The sequence below is a fragment of the Homo sapiens genome, chromosome 2 (genome assembly GCF_000001405.40).
Source record: "Homo sapiens chromosome 2, GRCh38.p14 Primary Assembly".
NCBI classification, from domain to species: domain Eukaryota; kingdom Metazoa; phylum Chordata; class Mammalia; order Primates; family Hominidae; genus Homo; species Homo sapiens.
The window spans coordinates 177,810,195-177,833,882 of NC_000002.12; the positions used below are offsets into that span (position 1 = coordinate 177,810,195).

A 23,688-nucleotide genomic window follows, 5' to 3' on the forward strand; every position below is an offset into this window, starting at 1 on the left:
CAACATAGCCCAAGCTTTTCCATTCCAGAATGTTGTCATGGCAGACAAAATGATTATTTGTGGTGGGATGCATTCATTTATTCCATATACTTTTATTGAGTACCAATTATATATAGAATACTGAAAAGAATAAAAGCTAGATAAGACATGATCACACACTTCAAGGCACATATGTTTCAGCAGAGGTAAACATACAGACTTACAATTAATGACAATGTAGGGCAAACAGGAACAAAAAAGCTTTGGGATTAGAAATTTTTATAGAGGAGATTACATTTACATTGTGCTTTGAATGATGGGAACATTTTGAGTGGATATGGCATAATTGAAACAGAGAATGACAAAAGTGGAGGGGAGGTTAGAGCAGAGATCAGATGGCAGAGAAACAGGTAGCTGGTCTTCAGACTATGACATCATTGGGTTTGTAAGTAGCATATAATACTCTTGAGAAGAGAAATGAGAGCCAGGGGTAGGAAAGTTTGGTATGAGATTTCTGAGGGCCTCAAAGGCCAGGACATTTGTTCTTTAATAGGTAATGGGGGAGTAATTTAAGGTCTATGAGTGGGTGAGTGATGAAATCTAAAATATGTTTTAGGAAGAACAAGTAGAAGGCTATTGCAATTGTCCAGTGCAGAGGTAATGGAGCCCTTAAGTAGGATGGTTGCTGTCACAATTGGAAAGGCAGAAATAGATGGGAGAGGCTTTGGGGAGGTAGAATAAAAGAGGCTTGGATCCTGATAGCATATGCCTTTTTCTTACTCTCTGTCAAACCCTCATTTCTTCCCTCTTCTGATCCTAAAGCTGTATGCAGTGTCCCTTAGCACACAGACTTATATTTTCTGGCAAATTTCTCTTCAGTATTAGGTAAGGCTTCATTTGCAGTAACTGTGAAAGACACCCCAAAGGACAGTTCCTGATGTTCAAAATGAGGAAGTTATATTCTACATCTACATTTTTATTTTATTTTTCTCTGTATTGTGGCTTTTAGAAAAAGGTTCCTCCTTTTACCTAAGAATTTCTACTCTCAGAAAATATGAACCTACATTAGCATAGCTCTTCTGAAGCTCTTGGTCATATAGAATGGAAATCAGGATCATGAAATTAAAGTTATTAAAATGATAGTAAATGCCTCTCTTTGTTCCATTATTCAGCTTTAAGAGCATTTCTGCTCTCTAAGAGCCTTAAAGTATTAATTTTATATATTTAGGACAAAGGATTTTAACAATAGAATTGTATAATTAAATTACAAGAAATTAAGAAAAACAGTCATCAAAATAATTGAGTTGATAATTCAATTGTTAAACAAAATCCAGATAATGTATTAGTCACTCCAATTTTTAAAGGCTAGAACAGTAGAAAATGTTTTGTATGCTTACATTTCTATTTCTCACCATGTGTGGATTATGGCTGAAATAAGCTGAAGTTGCCAATATGTGACAACAGGGAAAGGACTGCCTTGCATGGTAAGTCTTTTGGGGAAGCTTTGTCCTTGGAGATGTCTAGCTTTTAAAGACCTGTTCTGTTTCTGACATGGTAAATTTTGTATTTCTATGCCCTAGACTTTTCTGCAGATACATGTATAGTAACACAGGCTACAGACAATGGGCCTGCATTGAGCAAACACTGGTGCCCTGGAGCAGCTGCACTTGCGATGCTTCTGGGATGTTCAGTGGTGTGACCAAACAGCATGTATCAAAGAACTAGGAAACAGGCAATCTGTTTTCAGCTCTGACTTTAAGCAGGTAGTAATTTTCCTGATAAAACAGGCGAAAAAATTATAGCTCCCCAGTCAGCATAGTCTTACAAGAAATCTTGGGCTAAGTAGACAAAACTCAATGAAGATTAAGGACTCCAAATGCACTGGTTGGTAAGAACAACTAACTTTTATTAAGTACCAGTTGTAACTAAACACTCTTTCTAAACACTTTCCCTGTAATTTTTTTGTAACTGTTAAAACAGGCTTGAAAATTTTTTTTTAACTTATAATTTTTGTAGGTACATAGTAGGTATATATATTTATGGGGAAAACAGGCTTCTTATACCCATTTAACATATGAATAAAACAAGATTGAGAGGTTAAGTAGCTTGCCCAAGGTCAATAGCTACTGAACCAGGATTCAAGCCTAACTAAACTGATCAGGCTAATACTAAAATCGACACTTTAAATCTTCTCCCTATGCTGCCTTTTGCATGGATAAAGTTAGCAACCTCCTTCTGCAGGGGACACTGACACAAAGCAAGATCTGCATTAAAAGTGTACTTAAAGCAATGAAGTTTCTGGTTTAGAAATAGGTAGATCAATGGGACAAAGTAACATGTAAAGAAATATACTTGAATATATATAAGAATTTATATAATTTAATGCGGTATTTCAACTTGTTCAAGCAGGCAGATAAGCTAGATATGAGCAGGAGGGTGAGTCCCCTGAGAAAAGGGAGGTTTGGAAAAATCTCATAACCCAGAGACCACCCAAAACATGCATCCTAGCTATGAGCAGAGAGGAAGGGAAATACCTATGGAGAAAGAGATGCCCCTTGACTCCCAGTAATCACTCACTCCACAATTAAACTGTCCTGTCAGAATGTAGCTAGCTACATGCTGTTAAGCGGGTAAAGAGGGAAAAAGGAGAAATTCCTAAGAGATACACAGGTGCAATAAGCACAGCTTTAACCACTTTCCAACCTTCCTCAGGTGGTGATAATGAGTAATGCAGGCATTATATAGAATTTGTATCCAACACTGGCCTGCACATACATGTGAACTAACAGTAGGGGGGAATCCCACAAATTTGGAGTGGAAACTAGGTGGGGACTTAAGGCAGAAGTGGGAACTAGACAAAGACAAAGGTGGAAACTTGAGGCAGAGGCAGAAGCCTGAAGAAACAGTCTGCCATAATAACCACAATGCAGAACTCTTGGGGCTGCTGCTGGCTTATCCCTTTTAAACACCCTGCTCTGCCTCATCTTTCAGCGTGCACTGTCTCTGCTACTACCTAACCTTTGAGGCTACTACTCCTGTTTCTCCAGCTGGACCAGCCTGCTCCTTTCTTGGAGTGTCCTTCTCTCAATAAACTCTGTACTCTTTATTTTCTTTCAATAAATCTTTTGCTTACATTACTAATTGGTCTCTTGGCTGAATTCTTTCTCCCAGGTAAGACAAGAACTGAGGATTCCTGTACTTCCCAGTAACAAAATCATTAGGAAAAGTAGCCAGTATTAAATGAATATATAGAAATCAGTGGCTGTTTGGGAGAAAAAAATAAAGTTAAAGCCCTATTTTTTTTAAGTGTACTTCCAGTGAGCTCTGAGTGTTTTAGAGACTGTACTCTGCCCCATTTGTGAGAATTATTAGTCTTTCCAGGGAATATATATGGAGAATATTTACTTTCAGAGGATGTACCATGGAGAGAAGTATTTTTATGAAAAATGCCTTGGGAATAGGATTTTTAAAAGACAGAAGAGAACAGTGTGGTGCTGTCTCTTGAGTCTCATGAACACACAGCAAGACATGTATTCCCATTAACTCTCTAGGCCATGAACTACTTGTGCTCCCTTTTTAAGGAAGGAAAAGATTCTAGGGTGGTTTTTGTCACTGGGTGCTGTGGAATGGATTATTTCCCTCCACTCTTGTTGCTAACCGGAAAAAAAAAAAGACACTGCAATAAGGTTATGGGACTGAAAGAGCTACATTTAGACACAGCTCTTTTGGGGTCAAGGTCAAGTAGGACAATAATGGAAAAGAATAAGCAAAAATGAGACAACACAAGGAGAAGAGGAACCTGGGCACACCTGAGTGGGGAATCTTCCCTTAGCCACAGTGGAAAAGGGGAAAGCACTAGCCCAGGATCTCAGAAAGAAGGGATAGGAATGATAGAAGGGTAACATGGCATTTGGCTTTCTCTCTCAGCTCTGTTATTACTATTTTACTTTTTAAAAAACTTTGTTACATAATATATATTCTCATAAAGTAGCTCAAATCTTTTATGGGACTAAGCAAGTTATAAATACATACTTTCCATAGAAATATTTAGAAAAATATTACACTTACACATATTCATATATAATATGTATAAATACATAAATTTAAAAATATATATTCAGAAGTTGATGTATATTATAATATACGTATATCTCATTCCTGAATTTGGGTTTAGTAGCTCTCAAAAAATCACTTTTTGTCTTTATAAAGTCCTCAGGGTAAGAAATCCTTCCAGATACTCTTGCACATGGATTCCTAGGCCAGGGAGCGGGGTGGATGCCACCTGATCACTAGTGTCAAGAATTTCGTACTCAGTGGGGTGGGAGTTGGCTGAGAGTGGAAGCGGCAAGAGCAAGATGGCAACACCATAATTCTGACTGGGAATGCCACTTTCCACACTGGCACAAAATAAAGCATGTGGAACAAAGAAGTCAATGCCTATAAGTCAACTTCTTGAAAGTTTCAGATTGTCACAAGGCTAAGAGTTGGGCTAGAGATTTGTCAGAGTCAGTAATAATTTTTGTGTCTAAGGACAGAGGGATCTGAGTTACATAAACAAGAGGTGTTCACTATGAACTGAAATAAGCAATTCATGGGTAAAGAGACTGGGGCCAGAAATTCTAGGGTATATGAGCATTTTCTAGGTAATGGTAACTGTGGCTCATTGGGGTAGGAGTAGTGCCAGTGAGAGTGGTGCCTTTTACTGAATCTTCCCATCTGGGGGTAAATGGCCATTCATGCTGCAACGCAGTTATTCTAGCTCCTTCTCAAGAGGACGACGATGTGCCAGAGGTAGATGAGAAGTGAGAATATGGGCATATGTAAGATGTTCTCTCTTTGTGTGTTAATTATACTGTGACATAATGAAGTAGGATTTAGATGGGACTAGTGTATGGTGTGTCCTTCTTTTTAATAGCTGCAGTTACTGAAAAACAATGGGTGAAGCAACACTGTGGAGATCAGAATTTGATGATGGTGAAGGAGGCATAACTCAACATTTGCTGTTCTAAATTCCTGTCCTTTGCTATTTCTCCCCAATCCATGGTGATTTCTCAGTAATAAATATACTACCACAAATAATAATAGTATTATTGCTATGATTTTACGAATACTTATTAACATCTTCACATGCTTCATCTCATTTAATTCTCACAATTGAGGTAAGTGACAGATCCAGGATTTGAAAATAGTTCTGCACACAGACCTTAATGCTATACTAATGATTCTTATCAGTTGGTTGAATACTTATAGTTCACTCATTTATTGATGCATCTTATAGATACTGTTTTTAGTCCTTACTATAAAAAGATATTACATATAAACGAAGCAGGGCTGTCTCAGAAGAGCAAAAAGCATCCCTTGCCAAGGTAAGGGATTCTTTCCTTCCTCCTTCTTTCCCTCCCACCCTCCATTCAAAAATTATTCAATAAATCCCAACTTTGCACTAAGCACCCTGCTAGGCATTGCAAATAAAAATCCCTGTGCTTCTAGAATCCATGATTTAGCCAGAAAATTAAAAGCACATAGATAGATAACTATAATTTTACATCTTTTACATCTCAAATCAGAGCAGTGCAGGTAACATCAATTTGCCTACTTCTTATATCTGGCTTGACACACAGAATATTTTGAAGATTTCATGTGTATTATATCATACTCTTCTATATACTTTTATCTTGGCACTGACATTTTATCTTGCCTACTTAGTAAGTATTTCATAGATATAAAGAAAATATTTGGTAAAATCTACAGAGCAGGCCAGGTGTGGTGGCTCATGCCTGTAATCCCAGCACTTTGGGAGGCCAAGGCGGGCAGATCACCTGAGGTCAGGAGTTCAAGACCAGCCTGGCCAACATAGTGAAACCTCATCTCTGCTAAAAATACAAAAATTAGTTGGGCATGGTGGTGCATGCCTGTAATCCCAGCTACTCGGGAGGCTGAGGCAGGAGAATTGCTTGAACCCGGGAGGTAGAGGTTGCAGTGAGCCGAGATGGCACCACTGTACTCCAGCCTGGGCAAAAAAAACAAAAACAAAAACAAAACAAAAAAAACAACTACAGAGCAGAAGCTAGAAAAAAACGAGTCTTGAGTCAAAACAAGCGTCTGAGATTCAGGGGAGATTAGAACTGCTCTTTTGGAACTTAGTGTCTGAGAGGACATATGTGCAGACATGGGAACAGGTCAAGGTTCTTGATGGGACATGTGTTGGGGGAGGGAGGAAGAAAGGGAATCGGATAATGACAGGAGTAGCTTTCCCCATCTAGGTCATATATCCTTGTAGTGAATTCTTCTCCTACGATAAGAAAAGTTGTGACTTTATAGATTATCTATACATATTCAAATCTAAGTTTAAAATAAATTTGAAATCCTGCCAAATTATCTTTGGATTGTCACTATTTAATAAATGTAATTTTAAAAAATCTATATCTAAACATAGGACTTATATGAATGGGCTTCAAGGCATCTGTGAACCCCTGAAATCATATGCAACATTGTGTTTCTCTGGACTTCATGAGATTTAAACCCACAACCTAAAATGATTAAGGCCCAATGAATAATTAAAATTTGAGAAATTAAGCCCCATAACCAGGGAAATTTTTTCCCTCATAAAATTAGAGCTGACAGCATACAAACCTGACATAAACACTGTACTTACATCAAGAGCCACAGACTGCTTGGCCCAGGACTTCTTCACTTGATCATACATAATTGTGTTGTTGATGCCAAGTCCACAAAAGATGACAAAAGCCTAGGAAAGAGCAAACCTGCTAATTAAACATTGCAGCAACTCATTGGCAAAATCTAATATGAAAGCAGGCAGCCACCAGGGATGGGTCTGAAAATACAATCTTGTTGTACACAGAGGTAGGCCTTGGGGAAATAGGCACATTAAAATTCTTAATTACTATTGTTATATAACAACTTTATAGCTCACACTGCACATGAGGAAAAATTATGAATTTAATGTCATTGTAGAGAAACTATTTCATATGTTTAAAAACATACTTACACTCTGTTTAAGTGGGTTCTTAATTTATTTAGGTTGTGGACTGATTTTAGTAAATCCATTCTATTTAACCAAAGCAACCTCTTTTAGTTGCTAGGCTATAAAATACTTTGGTAAAGAAACCAAGTTAATGTAACCATAAGGTAAATGTTAAGGGGAAGGAGGATTGAGTTAGAACCATTAATAAAGAAGCTATGAGGTATTCTTGATTAGAGAAAGATAACCATGGGTTTTCATGTTGGCTACTGGTACAGTCTATGAGGAAGCCCATTCAAGGCTAGCTTCTCCAGCTAGAGCGCCTGGAGTGAATGCACGGAAGCGTGTAAACAAGAGAAATGTGAGGGCAGCACGCCTGGCAGAGCTGGCTCAGGGTTTCATGACTCTGAACACACACAAACAAGACAAGAATAAGAAAATAGCACTTTGGGGAAAAGAGAGGGTAATTCTGTAATAAAATTAAGATAAAAATAATGGATGGTTACAAAATAATCCAATTCATAAAAAATAGGATCAAATCTCACTTAAGCATTTACATATTCCTTAAATCTTCCTGTTAATTTTGCCCTCCATTTAAGTATAATAATAATTGACTAATAATTGTTTGTCTTTCAAATTTGGGCAAGCTGCAACCAGGGGACTATTGATGACTCCACTTGGTTTATAAATTTATTTTCTTACCTCAAAAAGTCGTTGATCTGCATCATCAAAAGGTTTCCCATCAAGTCTGTTTAACACTTGAGCCACTCCTATGGGGAAAGAGTGGATTATGTGGTCATTTTTAGTACTGGACATTGTGTTTCTCTAATAGAGTAGCCACAGCTAACTCTATGCCTTTTTTAAGGAACTGCACTCAGTTTAAACTCTGGTCTCTCAAGTGCCTGCCGATTTCATGAGAATAAATCTGAGGTGTAGGACAATGCACTCTCTCTTCAAGGCTGATTTATTTAGACTAGATCTCAGTAGTTCGGAGTTCTACCAAGGCTTTAATCTGATTCTAGATGACTAGTTACAGTAACTCTAATATATTGCCCATATATTATATATACAACTGAGTATATATGTAGCTGAATATGTGTGTGTATTCAGCTACATATATATATATATTTCAACTGAAAATATATATATATGTGTGTATATATATATATATATCATACTCTGAAGCACAATACTTGAAAGAGGCAGTATGGCACTGTGATTAAGAACATAAGCTTTGGACTTAGATGATCTGAGATCAAATTTCAACTCCACCATCAGGTGTGTGACCTTGGGCACGTTACCTAACTTTTTTAGCACTCAATTTCCTCATCTGTAAAATGGGGATTAAAATGTTAACTACCTAAGAAGGTTATGAAGATTAAATGAGATAATGTTAGAATGTTCATAAAGCATTTAGCATATTGCTTCACTCAGAGTAAACATTCAAGAAATGTTAGGAATTATTACAAGCAATAAAAGTTGATATAATACAGTTAACCTTCAAAGCAAAGTTAGTTCTGTTTCCTGCTACCAGGGGGTACATATAGTTCTACAAATCTTAATTTATGAGTGATTACTTTTTCCAAACTTCACCTCTAGTATTATACCAGATGTTTTAGGGCATGACTTCCCAAATACACAAGTTTAACAAGAAAAATCAACTATCTTGAAAACCACTAGCCTGTGTCCCCATTTAGTACAAAAGAAAAAAAAAACCAGCTGTAATTCTAAAGTATGCTTGTATTTTTAAAAACACCCAACTTCCCACCAGGGAGGTAAGTCATCATATGCAAGAAGACATATATATATAAATAATGAAACACAAAACTATTAGCATGTAACCAGGCAAACTACGGTTCTAATTTTGAAGTAATAAGGGATGTTTACTTTTAGGATTGAAATGTAGGACTACGAGATTGCCACGGAATATCAACAGGTAACACATGGTGTTTCTTATGGACTTTCCCTTTAAACATAAATTTATTTAAAACTCTGTGCATGATGTAGTTTAAGTCTTTGTACTAGAGGCTTAGATCCCAAACCTTAGAATATTCTTTATGTTCAGTAACATACCAATATTCTTATGCAGACTAAGCTGATGAAAAACATTATCTCAGAATTCATATCTTAAAAACACTCACAGAATACTAAATCCTTTAATAAGCAGCAGTGTCTTAGACTTTAACAGGCAATTTTAGGGGGAAGCAGAGAAAGGCAAATGGATGCATTAGTTACCAAATGAATTAGTGTTCTTACGTCTCTTAGGAAAAAAAGTCACATTTTTATTGTGTTTCAATAATTTCAACTAATTCCTCCATCCTTCATGACTTCTCTATTTCAACCATGAATTCTCCTTGCCTGGGCTTCTTTCTTGAATTTGATGCTTTCCTAATTGAGTTTTTTTGAGGAGAAGGAAAGGAGAATGGAGGAAGAGAAAAATTGGAAGCTGCTTTTGCCCATGATTCCCTTATTGTGAGGAAAATGTGGCCTATTTCAGAACTGCCCAGGCAGAAAATGCATGCTCAGTATATGTCCAATATAGAATGTTATTTCTTCCTTTGCCTTTACACCATGTATAAAAAGCACAGATGTAAACACATTGACATAGTAAGAAAGTCTGCACTAGGAGTTAGGAAGCCTGAATTTTGTTCCTGACCTTGCTATTAACTTTGTGGCCTTCTTGAAGTCATTTCTCTTTCTCTCTTTCTCTCTTTCTCTCTCTCTCTCTCTCTCTCTCTCTGTCTCTGTCTCTCTCTGGCTTTTTTTTTCACTCTCTGCCTCTATTTCCACAGGGTGAGATAAAAGAGTTCTATTGGTTGATAACTCAGATTCTCTACGACTTTAAAATTTATTGGTTCTTTCAATTTAATACATATTTGTTCAAGTTGTGGATAATGTTGATTCATTAGGAGCCTGTGCTTATGAAATTATACGAGAGTGTGAGACATAGTTTGATGAGTCCTGGCCATAAAAAGAGGGAACACATAAAAAAGATATGGGAATATTTTAAAGCAAACTTCTGTTTCTTTATTCAAGAAGTTTAACTATTTAGGTCATCTCTTACCAATTATTTGGTGGTTGCTATTCCAAATAGGGACACAAAGAACAGATCTTATGTGAAAACCAGATATCTGGTCTGCCTAGGAAACAAGAAAGAAGTTAATTAAAATTGAATATTAACTATTCATTTTTGATTTACATTTTTTCCATTTTTCATAACAGATATTCAAAAATAACTTTTTAAAGCTATTTTATACACTGTAACCTAATTTTGTAATGCATAAACTCACTCACCTGCCTCCTTCATCACAATGAACATCCTAAAGGAATCAAACCCAAGCCAAATATGAATCAACCAAATAAATCCAAAACCAACATGACCTCCTTCAATCCCTGCAGCCATAGAGAGCTGGACATAAAACTATCTTGATCATGACCACACCACTAGACAAGAATTCCAGCAACTGTTTCTCCTCTGGGTATTTAAAGCATTTTAATTAAACCAGTGATCAATTTTTATCTTTGACTGGGTGCACTTGTTAGTAAAACATGTTTGTGCCTATAATGCTGTCATATTTACATTTACTTTTAATACTCTATATTTTTACTGTTACTATATTATTATGTATGTTGTCAAATCTAGATACAAAAAAGGTAAGATAGAGGTAGAGGTTTGAATATTTTCCTTCTGTACCCCAAATATGTCAGGAGGTGACATTTAAAATACAGAGGTATAATTATCAACATCAAACATTGAGTAACAAACTCCATTTAATATTAAAAACAGTGGTCCATATTTGAATGGTTAGAGAGAAACCACTAAGAGTGAAAGGGTCTTAGGGAGTTAATATGACCTTGATTTTCAGTGAGGTCAATCTATTGTTCTAATACAATAGGAGAAAACAATAAGATATGAAGGTTTTGGATCATGGATATGGAGATAAAAAGATATTTTAAAATATTCTTTGTTGAAGGCAAGAGCCACATATTTTAAACACTTGAAACTAAAAGTTAATTTACATACCTAAATTTTATACTGGATTTTTTCTTTTTGACATTTCTCTTTGAGAAGTTAATTTTCCAGATATCTTCTATTCATTGTACCAATATGTTAGTTTCTCTTTTTCAATGTTTTTTGAAGATTAACATGCATGTAGAAAGGCCCCAAAATTGTAAGTATACAGCTTAATGGATTTTTACAAAATGAACAGATCTATGCAACTACCACCAAGATCAAGACATAGAATATTATCACTGCCCCAGAAGCCACCTCCAAACCCCTAAATTCTTGTACATACTTAGTGCATATATGCATTTCTGATAGGCATATACTTATAATAAAATTGCTGAGTTATTCACCTGTTCAGCTTCAAAATATATATTTTAAAGTTTTTGCAAAGTACTTGTACCAATTTACCTTCTAACCAGAAGTGTATGAGAGTTCCAGTTGATTTATATCATCACCAACATTTGATGTTGTCAGGCTTTTAAAAAAAAATTTTGACAATTCTGATAGATATGTGGTTATATCTCCTTGTGAAAGTAATTTGATTATCTCTGATGACTAGGGTGACCATAAATCCTGGTTTAAGTCTGTTTTCCTGACATAATTATTAATAATATGCCTTTCATTCTCAAAAGTGTCTAAATTTGGACAATAAATTTATAATTTTCCTACTTATGATTAATGAAGTTGAGCAACTTTTCATATACTTATCATCTATTTCTACTCTCTTCCATGAAGTGCCTGTTCAGAACTTTGGTCTTTTGTCCTGTTGGGTTGTCTGATTTTTAAAAATTGGCTCGTAAAAGTATCTTCTATATTCTGGATAAGAGCCCTCTGCAAGATATATGTATTACAAATATTTTTCTTATTCCATGGCTTGTTTTTCCACTCTTTTAATGGTGTCTTTTGATTCAGAGGTCCCTAATATGATATAGGCAAATATTTCAATTTTTAAATTTATGGTCAGTATTTTTTTGGTTTTGTTCAAGAGATCTTTCTGTATTCCAACCTCATGAAGATATTCTTCTGTGCTTTTCCTAGAATCCTTACTGTTTTAACTTTCACATTTAAATTTATAATCCAACTGAAAATGATTTTCATGTATAATATGAGCTAGGAGTCAAAATTTCTTTTTTTTTTGAAATGGATATTCAGTTGATCCAGCACTGTTTTGAGGGAAAAAGCAATACCTCTCCCCATCACTCTACTGTGCCATCATTTTCATTAATCAACTGTCCATATATATTTGGATCTGTTTCTGGACTCTCTATTCTATTCCATTGATCTAGGTATCTATCCTTATGCCAATACCACACTGTCTTAAATAATACAGTTGTATGATAAGGCTCAGTATCTGGTAGTGCAAATCCTCCAACTTTTTCCTTCTTCAAGATTGTCTTGACTATTTTTGACCTCTGGCATTTACATATAAATTTTAGAATCAATTTGCAGTTTATACACATACATATACATTCCTGGGATTTTTATCGGTATTTTTTGAATCTATCTGTTTGGGGGAGAATTGACACCTTTACAAAACTGAGTCTTTCAATCCATAAATATCCCTTAATTTATTTAAGGCTCTTAAAATTTCTCTTAGCAAAGTTTGGTAGTTTTCCATGTAGTGTTCTTACACATAATTTGTTTTATTTGTATCCTGATGTTTAAAAACTTCATGTTATTGTAAATAACAGTAGTATTTTATTTTCTAATGCTTGTAATTGGTACATAAAAATACAATCGACTTTTTAATATTAAATTTGTTTCCATCAATCTTGCTACATTCAATTATTAACTTTAATGTCTTACCTGTAAAGTGTTTTGGATTTTCTTGCCACATGATCACGTCATCTTATCCTTTAATTCTTATACCTTTTAGTCATGTAATTTTAGATTATGTGATTTTTCCTTTTTTATTTTGTTAATAGAGTGAATTAGATTGATTGATATTTGAGAATTCCAGATGCAAAAACAAAAACGTAAGCATAAATCATTCGTCCAGTGTACTCTTCCAAAAAATATTTATTTACCACCTTCTATGCACCAGACACATTGCTTAGTATTGAGGATAGAAAAATGGATTCAAATAGTCATTACCCTTGAGCTACTCACAGTCTAGGAAAGATAGAAATATTGAGATAAAATAAGTGTCCAAGTAGAGGATGTTCAAACACTATTGGAAAGACAACAATTCACTCTGTTTAGAGAAATCAGGAGCAGCCCAAGACCCTTTACAATGAGTCTTCAAAGACAACAGTGATGATGATAAGCTCACATTTGCTAGATGTTCACTCTCTGTCTGGCATTCCGCTCAGCACTTTCTTATGCATTATTTTATACTTTTTACAACCACCCCATGAAGTAGGTACTGTTATCATCCTCTCTTATCAGATGAGACTTAGGGAGATTAACTGCCTTGAATGAGAGAGACTGGCTCAAAGGAGCACAGCCAATGGCAAACACATCCATCAAAGTTATCTTCCAAAAAAACAAACTGGTTTTCTTCCCCTCCCTAAGGATAAAATCTGAATTAAGGCAATACCAGTAAGCATGAAGAGAAGAAAGCCAATTTTAGAAAGGTATAATCTACAGACTTAGGCTAGCCACAGCAGCACTAGGATGGCTGGGTCTGCTTTGTTTTGCTGTGGGAGCGACACATATCATTGTACAGACCATTGGGTTTGAGGCAGCACCAAGTAGTAAACACAATTGTCTCTGCCAACTCTGGGACAACAGTAGCTCCTGTCTAACGTTTCCTACGAAATCTGGGCAGCTGAAGGACAGGTCACAATGGGCAAGAAGAAAAGGAACATGCAGTAAGAAAGACAATTTAGAAGCTGGTGGTGAGAAAAACAAACCTTAGGCTGTTCGCCAGTTAAATAAAAGAGAATTTTGTTTACCCATCACTTTTAAAGTACTACAGTTCCCCAAAAGAGTTTTTTTTTTTCTTCTGGGAAAGTGGGAGTATGCACTCTCCCATCCCCATGGAGGATAACATTGAGGTTTCTGGCTTGAGTAAAGGTGGAAGAGTTCTTGAAGTGGGGAACACAGGAAATTTGAGGGAAATGATACGAACTCCAAATGGACACACATTACAAGTGAGAGGGGCTGGAGATACCAATCTTGGAGTCACCAGTCCTCTGGGTTAATTGCATGGGTAAGATTTAAGTTAATTGCATAGTTATTGCAAGAGAGAACTTGTCCAACAAAAAGACTAAAAACTGAACTTTGGGGAACACAATATTTAGTGCTGGAAGAAAAAGGTGACATCAGTGACAGGGATGGACAAGAACTCCAAAGCTCATGCTCTTAACCTGAAGGCTTTACTGCATCCATAATGTGTGTGAACAGATTTCTACAACCTTTCCGGAAATAGGTTTATTGATGTGTATCCAGAGCCTAAAAAGTATAAATACATACTCTTTGACCTATCAATTTCATATCTAGGAATTTATCCTGTGGTAATTATCAAAGCTATGCACAAAGCTTTACATGTAAAAGTGTGAACCACAGCATTATTTATCTTAGTGATTTATTAGAATAACATGAATATTCAACTGAAGGCAGTTGGTTAAGTAAATCATAGCACATTCACATAACAGAATATTATGCATCTAATTAAAATCATGCTATAGAAGAATAGTTACTCATATGGAAAATATTTAATATATTAAATGATAATAGTGTACATGCCTATGGGTATACAAAAGCATATTATATACATTGAAGGATCCTAGAAAAATTATGACCATAATAGTTTCCTTTGAATTTCTTGGCTATTAGAATTTTAAAATTATTGCTCCTAGTTTGTAAATTTTAGATAATAAACACAGATAATTTGTCCATAAGGGAAGAAGTTATTTTCTAAGTAGAACTTAGGGGGAGCAGCAGTGTCCAATGCTATAGAGAAGTCTAATAAGATAAGGACTGAAAATGGCTTACTGAATTTAGCAACATAGTGGGATCATTGAAGGCAAAAATGGTCAAGGGAAGAAAGGATGTGATCAGGAATAAAAGTCAAGTGGTTAGTCCTGGAAGAGAGGAAGGCCATAATGAGAAAGCAGAGCTGCAACTATTCAGAGCTGGAGTCTTGTATGAGCTGAGCACAGGAGAAGAGGTGAAGCATCAGAGAATGCAGAGGGTGTCTTTAAAGTGTTTCCACTGTGTTTGAGGGAAGGAGGTGAGGCTAAGGAATGGTGATGATCAACATGCTTGATGAGCCCAATCAGGTGGGAGAGGAGAACAAGGAAGGATGGCAGAGTGTGAGGAGAGTGAATTTTTCCATTTTAAAATCATTAATGAAATCCCCTAATTGCCTATTTGCGGCAGCAGCTATTTTTTCTGGAAAACTGTGCTAATCCAGGTTAGTTCATGTAACCATATGAAAAGGCAAGGCCCAGGAGTCCATTTTATCCTCTGCAGGGGCTGGAGGAAAAGGAGAAGGGAGATGAAAGAAGCACAGGATGTCTAACGAATAAATTCCAAACAGGGAGAAAGAGTAATAAGCAAGTATGAAGGAAAGAATCATTCCTGTTCACCAGATAACCCCAACTCTCCATATCAAATCAGTCAATGGAGCTCAAAAATGCCCATCAGCCACACCACCCCAACGAAGTCACCCAAAGTTTCAATGCCTCAATTTTATCATTAATATTTATCTCCTGCACACCAAAATGGTAACATTGGTTATCTTCATATTTTGGCCTCACAGCTGATTCTCATCTTTGTGCTTTTTCTTGTTTTCCAAGTTGTTTTATGAAAATTTGTGTGTGAAAGGGTTTCAAAATTTGTAAGGAGTTTTACAAATACAAATATTGCTAATATTGAAAGGAACAACTGCCAAAAAAATCTGCTTTATTGTTCCACATGGTGCCTTGGTCATTCTTGGTTTAACATTTACACCATTAGAGTCTCAAAAGTTAGACAACATGAGACAAAGCAGCCTTTCTAGAAGGCAACAGTTAAACTAAATATATTTCTGCGAGTGCTTAGTTCTTTCCAAGCAAAGATATGTCTACTTAAAAATGTTAACTAGTTTCTGTCCTCATGGGGCCTTTCCAATTAATGGATCTAATTAAAGATGGTTTAGCTCTTGGAGCCATCAACATGTACTTGTTATATTTTCTAGCCTCTCAAAGGTGGTCAAAGGAAATGTTAAATAAATTGGTGATAATATAATACTATTTATTAATGTTCAGTGTATTTCCTTTCTCTAGAAAGATACGTACAACTTTAACAATAATCTAAAGCAACACTTTCTCCCCAAAGATAATCTAGTGGTGAGAAATTCTAGTAACCAGACAAGCTGAGGGAGCCAATGTTCCCAGTCAGTCCCTTGATTTCCATGAAATAATAGAGAGAGAACTGAGTTTGGCCTATCTTACCTGCACATAGGATAAATCCTAATGGTTTGTAGAATAGTGCCTGTATATGATTCCTTAAATTCCTGAAAAATAAATGATTGTGCTTGGAGCTGAGGCATTTTCTCCACTGCCCATGCAGCAAAGTCTGTTGGATTCTTAGAACTGTGGGACTTGTATTTGTTTTCACTACCCACTGCTTCCCCATTCTATATTTTATTTAAGTCTTAGTAATCCCCCTAACTTCTAACCTCTAACCTTCCTTTCCCTTCTGCTCAACTGTAATTCTTACGTTCACTGTCCAATCTACCCTTCTTCTCAGGAAAGGTTCTCAAACTGGTTCACACTAAGTAACAGAAACTGAGAGAAGATTGACAAGAGCAAATGAATTTCAGCTGATCCACAGAGCTTTGTCTCTTAATGTTTCCAATTTTGCACATTTCCCTTTGCAACAGAAGCATAACTGATAGACCAGAAGGTGTTACAGAGAATAGAGAATGACCTGTCCTGCCAGGCTAGCTCTCAGCAGCCACTGTGGGGGTGCGGGAGTGCTCCACCACAAAGATCTGGCAGGCAAAATGGGCTTTAATGCTCTAAATCAGAGAATCTCAGAGCCTGGAGCCCCATTATCCTTAAGTGCTACATGACGAGGATAAGTAATATTGAGTTGTCTATAATAGGCTTTAAAAAAATCAGAGGAAAAACTTTACATGGAAGAATTGCATGGGACTGAAGAGCTACAGAGTTCAGATCACACCACCTTAGTGTTAATTGTGTAACTCTGGGCATTGGCCTTCCATGGCAGAGAAGATCTAGGTACTGATGGATTTCCCACGTCTCCTGAATTTGTAACAAATAAATGGACCACCAAATCCATCCATGCATAAGGCCTGCCCTACTTTTTAGTTAATTTCTGACATTCCCTTTGCTGAATGAACCTTTTCTATTTAAATGTTGAGTCCAAGTGTTCATTCTTATTGTAGGCAAAAAGCAAATACTGCATGTGATGGCTCTGAAAATTCTCTCCATAACTACACAAATGGAAGGAAATACTGAATTAAACAATGGAATATAATACCTTAGACTGACTAAATAATGGCTTGTTTTGCATTAGTGTATTTATTTTAATGCATTCTTTGAATCTAATAAGAAGAGAAGGGCAGAAAGTGTCACAGATGATATACTAAAGTGCAACTAACTACAGAAAATTGAATTCCGAGGCACAATGCCAGTTGAAAGCAAGGACAGAATGATTGTAATGGTGAGGATATTTGTAAATAGAGTATGCATTCTAAGAAGTCACCTAATACAAGAGGCGGTCATCTGCAAATGCAGTTTATGTACATGCTATTGGGGCAATCTCAGACAATGCTCCTAGTTGGAATAAATCCCAAGAAACAGAGGCAAAGGCGAATAGAAAATAATCCATCTGAATTCCCCAAAGATACAGCAAGGCAAGTTGACTTGTTTAGATATTATATTATTTCAATAATGGTTTTAGATAATTGTTTATAACTTTAAGAAGACTCAAAATAACCTGGTAAAACATAATTTCATATAAGATATAGTCTAAGATTTTAGAATATCTTTAAAATTTTTCATGATTATAAAAATAATATGAACACATGAAAAATTTAAAGCACAAATAAAATCAAAAGCTCTAACCTTTCCATCTTTAGAGATAGCAATTATTAACAAGTTGGTACAAGTCCTTCCTCACCTTTTCTTATAAATATGTATTAAGTTCATGTCAATATATAATATATTTAATGACATAAAGCATATTCATAAATTACACATAGATAATATATTTGACAATATTGAACAATATTCAACAAGAATGTCTATTATTTACTAAACATGGTTCTAGGTGTTGGGGATACAGCAGTGAAAAACAACAACAAAATCCTCACCTTCATAGAGCTTACATTTTAGTGATAGAAGAGAGATGGTAAACAATACAAAGATAAATGAATAAATTATATGTTAGAAGATGTTAAGATGATAGGGAAAAAACAGATAAGAGGGGTAAGGAGTACCAAGGGTATCAGGCCTTACTGTCAGGTAACATTTGGACAATGGTCTTAAAGAGGAGAGGATATGAGCCATGCAGATATTGGGGGAAGAGTATTTCAGCTGAGGGAGTAGCCAGTGCAAAGCCCCTGAGGTGGGCGTGTAAGTGGCACATTATAGGAACAAGGAGACTAGTGTGGCTTGCATAGTATGAGTAAGGGATGGGGGTGGATGATAGGGTGCCAGATGGTGTATGGCATTGTAGATCTCTGAAAGAATTGCAAATTTGGCTTTTACTGCAGTGAAATAAGGAGACACTGAAGAGTGTGTGAGCAGAGTTGTAACATAACTTAAAATTTAATAGCCTCTGACTATTGTGTTGAGAAAAGAGTATAGAGGGGCAAAGTGGAAGGAGAGGGACAGTTTAAGAGGATTTGTACATGAAATAGTACAGGGATGATAGTAGGCTGGATCTCGGTGGTAGCAGCTGAGTGGTAAGAAGTGGTCAGATTCTGGATAAATTAAGCAATTGGACTTCCTGATGAATTCATGTTCAACATCAGAGAAAGGGAGAATCATGCCTATACTTTTTTTGACATAAGCATCCTGAAGGATTGTGTTGCCTCAATAGAGATATGGAAACAGAGAGAGGAGCAGGCTTGGGGGGCAGGAGACTGTGGCCTGTGCTTTAGACATGTTAAGTTTAAAATACCTATTAAAAATATGCATATACTGTTTATGTATATACCCACATATATTATTCTATACATACTTCTATACATTATTTTAAACATACTTCTCTGTTTACTTTTTTCTTGTAGACATTTTAAAATATCAGGATATATAGATTGCTTCATGGGGTAGACATTGTGCATGGACTATATTTTAGTCTTTATTAGGGTATGATAGGCAAAATTCTTTTTTTTTTAAGATGGGGTCTCATGCTATAGCCAGGCTGGAATGCAGTGGCATGATCTCGGCTCACTGCAACCTCCGCCTCCTGAGTTCAAGCAATTCTCCTGCCTCAGCCTCCTGAGTAGTTGGGACTACAGGCGTGTGCCACCACTCCTGGCTAATTTTTTTTTTTTTTTGTATTTTTAGTAGAGACAGGGTTTCACCACGTTAGCCAGGAAGGTCTCGATCTCCTGACCTTGTGATCCGCCTGCCTCGGCCTCCTAAAGTGCTGGGATTACAGGCATGAGCCACTGTGCCCAGCCTATAATAAGCAAAATTCTAAGATGGCCTCTAAGAATCCCACCTGCCACCACCCCCAACTCTGGCTTCCTACATATCTTGAATAATCCTTTCCCTTGAGTGTGGACAGGGCCTGTGAATATGTTAGCACGGTCACTTCCCTGGTGATGTTACGTTACATGGCAAAGACGATGGGATAATCACTCCTGAGATTATATAAGCCACTCCGGACATGAGGTAAGCTTCTGTCACAGCCAACTGGAGTGAGATTCTCCCATTGGCTTTGAAGAAGTAAGCTGCCATGTGATGAGAGGGCCACATTCTAGGACTCAAGGGCAATCTCTGGGAGCTAAGACAGACCCTGGGCCATGGCCGGCAGAAAAATGAGAGCCTCAATCTACAACTGCAAGGAACTCAATTCTCCCAACAATCTGAATGATCTTTAAAAAGAACGCCAAGATCCAAATGAGAATTCCACACGGCCAATATCTTAATTTCAGCCTTGTGAGACCCTGAGCAGAGAACCCAGCAATGCCATGCCCAGACTTCTGACCCACAGAAACTGTGAGATAATAATCAGTGTTGTTTTGGCTGGGCGCGGTAGCTCACGCCTGTAATCCTAGCACTTTGGGAGGCCAAGGTGGGTGGATCACTTGAGGTCAGGAGTTCAAGACCAGCCTGGCCAACATGGTGAAACCCTGTCTCTGCTAAAAATACGAAAAATTAGCCAGCCATGGTGGTGTGCACCTGTAATCCCAGTTACTCGGGAGGCTGAGGCAGGAGAATTGCTTGAACCCAGGAGGCGGAGGTTGCAGTGAGCCGAGAATGAGCCACTGCACTCCAGCCTGGGAGACAGAGAAAGACTCCATCTCAAATAATAATAATAATAATAATAATAATAATAATAATAATAATAATAATCAGGTGTTGTTTTAAGTGCTGAGTTTGTGGTGATCTGTTTTGCTGCAATAGAAAATTAATATACATAATAACCCTGACAATGTCTTCAGAAACACACATGGATACCCTGTTCCCATGGAGCAGATGACTGATAAAGCTACAAAACCTAAGAACAGATGACCCATAAACATGAGGGTTTCTTGTACTACTATAAATAAATATAATATTATATTGAGTAGGTCTTTTCTGTCTTACATTCTTTTCATAGAATCTTGTAACAGAATAAACAGTGATTTTCATAAGGTCGCAGAATTTAAAGCTCACAAATGTAGTTCTAGCTCTGTGACATATAATCTTTTGTCATAATTTTTCCACCCATAAGCCAAAGAGTCTGGCCTTAAAACCATGTATGCTATCAAGCCCAGCAGGTGCCACTTTTGAGAGCCAACTCAAACAGGCATTCAGAAGGCAAATAATCACTATGGCTCACCTGCTAAGTCTGCTCTGTTCACCACAAGGAGGGAACTCCATTAAATATTTAAGACAATCACTAAGAGAACACCCAGCAGGCAAACAACTATGATTACTTGCCCCATAGCCCTCTCAGCAGGCATCTGACAGCACTTGGGATGGGGTTTACATCACATTAAAGACATCCCTTTGTAGCTCCTATCAAAAGGAAGACCAACAGTTTCAAAACTGAGATTTCAAAATAAGGATCATTCTCTTGCTGCATATCTTGGGCAGAGTTTCTAAGGACTTCCCTGAATTTTATCAAGATAGGAAAGACACAGAAATTAGAAATCTAGTTTCCCTTCATACCTTAACTGTATGCCTAAAGCAAAGCTTGATAGAGTAAATTATCTCTTACTAACAGAAAATACCCACTGGTGTCATGAATTCCCAAATTGGCAAGCTTCCTATGCTAGTCTGAATTGAACAAGAAGCTATCAAATGCACACAAGTGGGTGTATTGGGATCAGCACCAGCAGTTATCAATCTGAAGAATTCACAATATGGTCCATGGGGCAAGTCATTCATAAGTTGCTGCTGAAATATTTCATTCACATAATAGGGAACACCTCCCTATCCCACCAACACTGATCAGGAAAACCCATTTGGGCTTAATATGAACAAAAACTAAGCCTCTATTATATTAAACCACAGAAATTTTGAAGTTTATCTATTACTTTAACTGATGCAGGGATTGTAAATGTAGTCATCAGGGCTATGTTTGAAATATACAAGTGCAACTGGCTTTAGCTATGTCTTAAGGATTGGTGCGGCTTTAGCTATATGTTTCAAGGATTGGTGGGTTGCATAGGCTTGGGCAGTACAGGTATTACAGTAGGTATCTAGTCAGGAAGGAGCACGGCAGGAGAGGCCCCCCCTGACCCCTCCACGAATGTCAGGTGACCATCAGGTGATGGTCAGGTGGTTGTTAAACTGTCTCTCTAAAATAATAATTGGCCACAGCCAGTGCCAACAAAAGGCAGTCTCCTGATAGATAGAAAAACCCTGAAACTAGTGATCAGTAGTGTGATGGTTAATACTGAGTGTTAACTTGATTGGATTCCAGGATGCAAAGTATTGATCCTAGGTGTGTCTGTAAGGGTGTTACCAAAGGAGATTAACATTTGAGTCCGTGGTCTGGGAAAGGCAGACCCACCCTTAATCTGGGTAGGCAACATCAAATCAGCTGCCAGCACAGATAGAATATAAAGCAGGCATAAAAATGTGAACAAGTCAGATTGGCTTAGCCTTTCAGCCTACGTCTTTCTCTTGTGCTGGATGCTTCCTGCCCTCGAACATCGGTCTCCAAGTTCCTCAGCTTTGGGATTCGGACTGGCTTCCTTGCTCCTCAGCTTCCAGCCTATTGTAGGACCTTGTGATCATATGAGTTAATACTCCTTAATACTCACATCCATCTATCTATCTATCTATCTATCTATCTATCTATCTATCTATCTATCTCCTATTAGTTCTGTCCTTCTAGGTGACTAATAGAAGTCGCTTCCTGATAAGATCTTGGGAGTTGGGCAAGCAGACTCAAGCATGTGCATTAAGAGACAAAATGGAAGAGTTTAACTGGTATATGACCTTCGAGAAACATTCCGCTGGTATGGGAAGAATGCCTCCAGTAAGCATGCAGACAACTCCAGTAAACACACTATGTGTGCTCCCCTTCCAAGCGCTAGCAGGCCACTATGCATGCAGACAGCACACTCCAAGGGAAGAGCCAGGGAGAAGGAATGAAAGATCCTGGAAGTATGTCAATGCATAAAATTCCAAGTCAAAGATCAAACAGCGCACTTGATTTCTCAAGTCACCTGCTTGGCCCTCCTCCAAGTGTACTTTACTTCCTTTCATTCCTGCTCTAAAGCTTTTTTTAAAAAAACTTTCAATCCTGCTCTAAAACTTGCCACAGTCTCTTCTTCTGCCTAACGCCCCTCAGTCAAATTCTTTCTTCTGAGGAGGCAAGAATTGAGGTTGCTGCAGACCCACATGGATTTGCCACCACTAACACAGCCAGCCCCCACATTTAATCATCTCCAATGTGCCTAGGAAACCTGGTGCCTGGATGTCTGGCCACTCTTATCATACTGCTGGGTCCTATAAGGGAGGACCTGGTGACTATATCTGCACAGTTTATAAGATATTTATGTAGGACTTTACATGTTGCAAACTAAGTGATATGTCCAAGACTCCTCAGCTCTTGAGCACAGCAGATAGGACAAAAAAGTAGGTATGCTGGCCATGAGTTCATGTACCTGTGAGGAAGGAGAAAGGAAGAATGTGGTGACTCTGTTGCCTAGGCAGACCCTCAGCAGCTGATGCTCTCCCCAAGAGGATGCTAAAGGAAAGAGCACTGAATCAGGAACCAGAAGGCCCAGAGTGTTTTCTGTGATCTGCCTTAAGAAAGCTGTGTGGTCTTGGCAGACCACCAGCTCCCCAAGTCTCCATTTCCTCCCCTGTAAGCTAAAAAATATCCAATATTTCTATTTACTGAAAGTTGATGTATCCATAGTATGAAATCCCAGAATAGGGCCAATCCATTTTGGGGCATTCTATCCCAGTTTCTGATGAATTGGGGTCAGTAAAAAGAATTCATTGCCAGAATTAGCCACTGAGCTATTGAGAAATTTAGAATAGATATTAGTGATAGAGGCAGGAGGCAGACAAAGGCGTAGACAGATAGAGAAGGATCTCTGGAGAATTTCCAACCTGCCCCACAAGTGTTACACCAGATGTTT

At 37.4% G+C, this 23,688-nt stretch overlaps 1 protein-coding gene across 4 annotated transcripts in view, besides 1 other annotated feature; it reads right to left on the reverse strand.

Moving 5' to 3' along the window:
• The window catches only part of PDE11A (phosphodiesterase 11A), a 485,096-nt gene that overhangs the window by 186,951 nt on the left and 274,457 nt on the right, over nucleotides 1–23,688 (reverse strand). For all 4 annotated transcript variants that reach the window (NM_001077197.2, NM_016953.4, NM_001077358.2 and 1 more), the window contains 3 exons: nucleotides 10,026–10,101; nucleotides 7,664–7,731; nucleotides 6,635–6,727 (listed from right to left, as the gene is read on the reverse strand). In NM_001077197.2, coding sequence (NP_001070665.1) covers nucleotides 6,635–6,727; nucleotides 7,664–7,731; nucleotides 10,026–10,101 — 237 coding nt within the window. The remainder of the gene's footprint in view (nucleotides 1–6,634; nucleotides 6,728–7,663; nucleotides 7,732–10,025; nucleotides 10,102–23,688) is intronic.
• Nucleotides 20,753–21,297: an enhancer, noted in NCBI's record as "OCT4-NANOG hESC enhancer chr2:178695674-178696218 (GRCh37/hg19 assembly coordinates)". NCBI's record gives its function as "activates a minimal SCP1, AML or CMV promoter by ChIP-STARR-seq in naive H9 embryonic stem cells {active_cell/tissue: H9 hESC(naive)}" and the evidence as "EXISTENCE:reporter gene assay evidence [ECO:0000049][PMID:30033119]".